A 6,417-nucleotide genomic window follows, 5' to 3' on the forward strand; every position below is an offset into this window, starting at 1 on the left:
ATCAGAATAGAAACGATTTCTAAGAGAAAGGGATATGATTTAAACTTGAGACAAAAATAGTTTAAAGTAACTTTAGGCAAACTTTCATAAAATATTCATTTAGAATATATAATTGAAATAAAAATCCCATATTTTATCAGTAATAATCACCTATCTACAAAGGGGAAACTCCACATATTATTATTTCAACAGTAAAATTTATGGCCTATATAATGTATTTATAGTACATATTTTTAAATAATTTTAGGTTCCTTTAAATATTCCATATTGGTGTATTAAGCTCTATACAAAGTGGGTGTGGGAAATTATTTCTCTTAACAGACCTCATTTTTTAGCCATCATTTAACCAACTTCAATATTCAGACTATGTTTTGTGGAAGTTCACTTCATTCTTTTTTCCACATTCATCAGGTCTAGACTCAACCACCAGTCCTTCCCACATAACACATTCATGCATTTTTTATCTTATCAATGAAGATATGACAACACTATGAATGTTTTACTCATTTTTATAAGGATGGTGGTGAATGGCTCTTTTATACTAATGAATAAAATACAAAATGTAGATAAAAACATTCATTTTTACAAAGTTTTTGTAATATCTATGAATCTGTAGCAATTATTAAAGACTGTTTCAAAACTATGTTCTTAGTTGTATATATGCATATGCAAAATTGTCCATATAATTCAGATCTGAAAGCTCCATGAGAATTACATTACTATAAGAACATATTATTTGTAAGATAGGAGGTGAATACCAAGGTAGACTTTCCCTTCATCAACGGAGAGATCAGAATGGTGTAGAAACTGTCCCAAGTGCAAATTGAAATGAAAAAAAAAACAACTATATTCTTTATAAATTACAATTAGAATATTTTACTTTTGCAAATTCTACCAAAAAAAATTTACTGTATAAACACGTAACTAAGGTCTCATGCAAATTAGACTAAGGTCTCATGCAAACTTTACTAGCCTTATGGTAAATCTGCACAATTCCATAAGCTCATGTTACCTCCTGTTCGTTCATTAGCCTGAAGTTGCCGGATTATAAATTTGAATAGAGCACTCCTAAGAAAAGGTTTACAGAGTTGAGTCACGTTATATGCTAATTTTACTTTTCCTGTCTCAAGCAATTTTGCTTGCTTCTTTAGCTGCTTCAGTTAATATTTGTCTTATGTCTGTGTTTACTTAGTTTTCTACATACTTATCATTCAGTCACTTCCAACACTTCCCTTCAGTTGTATAAATTTATCTTCAATACTTTTAAAGCATCATGTTTTTTAACAACTTTTTCGTCCTTTTAAAGTTATCTTTCCTGGAAAGATCTGATGCTATGAAATCTAAAGATCTGCTGCAGAGCTCTTATGCTGAAATTTCCTTGGCCCAAATTCTAGAATTTTCTTGTCTGTATTTCTTTTGTTCTGAGGTCCCCTGTTCACTGCATCTCCTGCTTTTGTCCTTCTTAGTTTGCTTCCTAATTTTATGTGAAGTTCTTCCTTGTGTATCTTCTTGACAAGTGGTATGTGGCAGTAAATTTCTTGAGAACCAAGCACCAGAAAATCACTTAAATTAAACACTTAATTATTAATTTGCTGAGTATATAATTCAAGGCTGTGTGTAGATTTCTATTTTGGAATGTTTTTGTTGTTCAAATTGTAAAGACACTGTCCCATGGCCTTTCAGCTTCCAATATTGCTGAAGAAAAGTATTGTGACTCTTGAACTTACATGTATGTAAACTTTCCCAAGGAAGAAATCAAAACAAAACAGAAACATTCTATGTCCACTTCTGGAGAAGATAACATAGGCAAGAAGTTGCAGGGTATTCTCTTCTGCAGCCATGTGTAGCTAAGACGATGCAATGCAGAGCAAAAGAAACACCTGATGTGTGGCTATAAATTAAAATACATCCTTGAGAAATTTTAGAGCACTATATATATAAAAAAATGTTACAAAGAACTTTGCCATAGAGGTAGAAACCAAGTTACATAAAACTTCAACAATTAGGATATTTGAAACTTTATAATAACAGTATTGGAGACCAAGCTATGGTCCTGGAGTACTGGGAATTAACAAGCCTTGGTACGTTCCTCAATACATCCCCCAACAAATTGATACAGACAGAATACAGGGAAATACTGGGTAAAAGAGGGAGGTTCCCCAGCAAAGTCCCCACCTTCAAGCCTCGATACTTATGGCCCTAAGTGAGAATAGGCATTCCTGTTTTTGCATACAAAAGTTGTCTTTTGGCCCGCCACACCCTCCTATCATGTAAACACCAAACCCCAGGATCTAGGAGGAGACAAGGATACAAGGAGACAAATGACAGAACAGCACAATAGGGAAAGAAAGAGGAGGAGTATCTGAACACTGAGAGGAGTTTGGCTGGGGGCAGTCAAAGAGAAGTTATGCCAAACTCCAGGGGAAGATCATCTTTCCACTCCATCCCCTTTCTAGTTCCCCATAGGTACTGCTGAGAACCACCTCCACCACTCAATAAAATGTCCACGTTCATCCTTCCTGTCCCTGTGTAACTCAAGTTTTCTGGGACACTGGACACAGCTCAGGATACAGAAAGCCCTCTGCCCTTGTGAAAAGGCAGAGAGTTCACTAAGCTGGTTAACCTGTAAGTTATCTGTGGATGGCAAAGCTGAAAGAGTGCACTGTAACATGCCCACTTGGCTGTGAGAGTTGCAGACACCCACCCACCCCTAGATACTACCAGTTGAGGAGGTGGTCGAGAGCCCAAAGCACTCACTCTGGCTCCTGCACCTGCTCATCTGCATGTTCCCCCTCGCATAAGGGGTTTGAGCTCCTGGTGACTGAATGGAGAGCCACATCCTCCTTGCATGTCCTACAAGGGGGGGTTCAGGGAATCTCCCATTTCAAAATTATGGAAACTAATGGAGAAATGCTTCTCACTGTTTTGTTTTGTTTTGTTTTGTTTTCGAGTGAAAAATTCTAGAAAGCATTCCATGTTTTCCTCAGAACACTGCAATGGAACTGAGCTATAGTTGTCCATATCACTGATTACATATTCTTATGTTGTCCTTCCTTTCTTACTGTTTTCAGTTTCCTTGATCCCTCCTTCTTCCTCTCAGGAATCAACACGCAAATAAACTACCTGCAATCAAACTCTTGTCTCATACTTTCCTTTCAGAAAAACAAAAAAGCAAACGAAAAGAAAAATAAACAAGTTAACAGAGTACATTTATTTTACTGCAGGCTACATGGGCACTTTTAGATCAAAATATCCAAATGTATTTAATTTTGAAAAATTGTCTTGGTTTGTTTGAATAATTCCTCTATTTGGGTTTTTCTTTTGCTTAAAAACTCATTTTATTTGAAGATTGAGCCTCTGGAACATAAAGTTTATTATTATTTATCAATCTATATTATTTAATTTCAGTCTTTCCTTGTCTTCTTGTGCCCTTTATTTTAAACTTTTGTTTTTTTGAGAATTGTAGGTTCACATTGCATCATAATAAATACAGAAAACCCATACTATTCACACAAAATTAACATTTTTCAAAATTATACTACAGTATCACAGCCAAGATACTGACACTGATACAGCCACAGTATAAAATGATACAGAATATTGCCATCACCACAAGGATGCCCATATTGCCCATTTATAGCCTACACACTTCAACTTCACACCCTCCCACCTCAACTCTCATTACTCACCAGTGATTACTAATATGTTTCCCTTTTCTATAATTTTTTTATTTCAAGAATGTTACATAGACAGAATTGCACAATATGTACCTTTGATATTGACATTTTTGCTCATCATAATTACCTGGGGATTTATCCAAGTTGTTGTATATACCAATAGTTCATCCTTTTTATTGCATTTTTTGAAGTATTGGCTTGCTTTAGTTTTCGGCTATTTGAATAAAGCAGCAAGAGACATAGGTACACACTCTTTGTTTAAAGATAAGTTTTCATACATTTGGAATAAATGTCCAGGAGTAAAATTTCTGGGTCGTATGGTAGTTATATTTTTAGTTTTTTGTTTACTTGTTTTAATAAATGACCAAAGTGTTTCCTTAGAGGGGAATTACATTCCAAATAGCAATAGGTGAATGATCTGGTTTCCATACATTCTCACCAATATTTCACGTTATTACTATGTTTTATTTTAGCCATTCTGATAAGTGTGAAGTAATAGCTCGATGTGGTTTTAATTTGCATTTCTCTAATAGCCAGTGATGTTGAATATTTTTTCATGGATTTTTTTTTTTTTACCATTGGTATAGCCTCTTAATTTAAATCATTTTCTTAACATCTTTTGCTCACTTCTTAATGACTTTTTTTTTTACTTTGAGTTTTGAGGCTTCTTTGTGTATTCCAGAAACTAGCCATTTGTCAATATCATTTGTATATACAGTCTCCTAGTGAGTAGCTTGCATCTATATCTTTTTAGTAAGGTCTTTAACTGAACAACATTTTTAATTTTGCTTGATTTATCAATTTTTTAAATTTAATTTCCTTTTTATTTATTTTAATATTATTCATTTTCATTTATCACATTTTCCTTTTATTAATTGCATTTTGTTACAATATCTGAGACATTTTTGTCTAGCCTTATATCCCTAATATTTTTTTCTATGCTATTTTTCCAAAAGTTTTATAGTTTTGCGGTTATACTTAAATCTGTATTACATGTTCAATTATTTTTGCCTTATATGATTTGAGGTTATTTCGCCTTATTAGACTTGAGGTTAATTTTTTGCATATATTCTCTTTTCAGTATTATTTATTGAGAAAGGTGTTTCTCTTCCATTGAATTGACTTTCTACCTTTGTCAAAAATTGATTGGGCATATTTATGTGGGTTTACTTCTTGGATATCTGTTTTATTTCATTGATCTGTATGTCTATCCCTCTAAAAATATCACACAGTCTTGATTGCTGTGGCTATATAACAACCATAATTGCAGATAGATTATTCTTCCAGGTTTATTCTTATTATTCCAAATTGTTTTAGTTATTCAAGTGCTTTGTCTTTCTAAGAATGTTTTAAAATACTTTTTTCTAAATCTACAAAATATCTTGCCAGAATTTTGATAGGAATTTAATTAAACATTTATTATCAATTTGGAAAAAAATGACATTTTTGTTATGTTGGGTCTTCCAATCCATAATGGTAACATACCTCCCTTTATTTAGATCTTCTTTGATTACTTTCATTAATGTTGTATAGTTTTCAGCATACCAAACCTATATACATTTTGATAAATTTGCATATATATAGCAGTTGTAAATGGTATTTTATTTTTAATTTTGTTGTCCACATATGCATCATCCCTGTCTTAAATACCATTTGGGTTGCTATAACAATACCATAAAGTGGGTAGCTTATTTACAAGAGAAAATTTTTTTCTCACAGTTCTGGAGTTAGAGAAGTCCAAGATCAGGGTACTGACAGATTTGGGGTCTGGGGAGAGCCTACTTTGCAGCTTTCAGTTTCATAGGTAGCTGTCTCCTCACTGTGTCTTAACAGAGTGGAAGAAGAGAACTGTGGTCTCTAGCTCTTTATAATTGCACTAGTCTCATTCATGAGGGCTCCACTCTCATGACCTTATCACCTCCCAAAGGCCCTACCTCCTAATCTCCTAATACCAACACACTGGGGATTCGGTTTATACATTTAAATTTGGGAAAGGCATAAACATTCAATCCTTAGCATGACACCTCATTACAATTTGGAGAGAGTGAAAGTCTAGATGCCTCACTCATCCTTTACTGACAAGGATGGGAGAGGGACCACAAGTTTCCTGTGGTTTGTCTGGAGTAGTGCAGGCATTGTCTAAAAATTAACTCTCTCATTAAACTGCCTTTTGCCTTCTTTTGGCTAGAGATAGCAGGATTTTGTTAGAGCTTTATTTGTCTACATCCATTGGAGTATCTAGTTTTATGGCTTCTTCAGCATCCACTTTGGGATATGTGAGGCAAAAAAAGAAACACGAGGAGCTCACCACTATGTTATTTTTCAGGTCCCAGGCTCTCCAGCTTGTCTGCATTTTCTCTACCTTCAAAATATCTTTTATGTTTTTAAATAATATTTGTAAAGCCTTAAGTTATTATTGTACTTATTGGGAAGAATGGGGAATTGTATGTCCACTTCATTTTCACAAAAGTAGAAGTTGTTTTTTCATTGGTTTATATCACTTTGGAAGATTTCAACTTTTGTACTGAGATATGTGTGTATTTTAAAATTATGCTATCACATTTTTAATCTCCAAGAACTCTTTTTTATTACTGTAAATATTCCAAATTTATAATATCCTGTTTCTGTTTCATAAATGTGTTATAAGTCTCTTAATATCCCAGAGAACAATTTCGTTTTAAGTTTTTGTCTTTGTGCGCTATTTTATTTGTTTTGGACTATTTTCAATGATTATTTTGGT

General features: G+C 33.6%; 1 annotated feature.

Annotated features, from left to right (window-relative positions):
- Positions 285 to 454: an enhancer, noted in NCBI's record as "experimental_94183 CRE fragment used in MPRA reporter constructs". NCBI's record gives its function as "activates a minimal promoter by MPRAs in K562 erythroleukemia cells, with activity observed for the non-introgressed 6:67850404 variant allele {active_cell/tissue: K562}" and the evidence as "EXISTENCE:reporter gene assay evidence [ECO:0000049][PMID:34662402]".

The sequence above is a fragment of the Homo sapiens genome, chromosome 6, assembly GCF_000001405.40.
Source record: "Homo sapiens chromosome 6, GRCh38.p14 Primary Assembly".
In the NCBI taxonomy this organism is placed as follows: domain Eukaryota; kingdom Metazoa; phylum Chordata; class Mammalia; order Primates; family Hominidae; genus Homo; species Homo sapiens.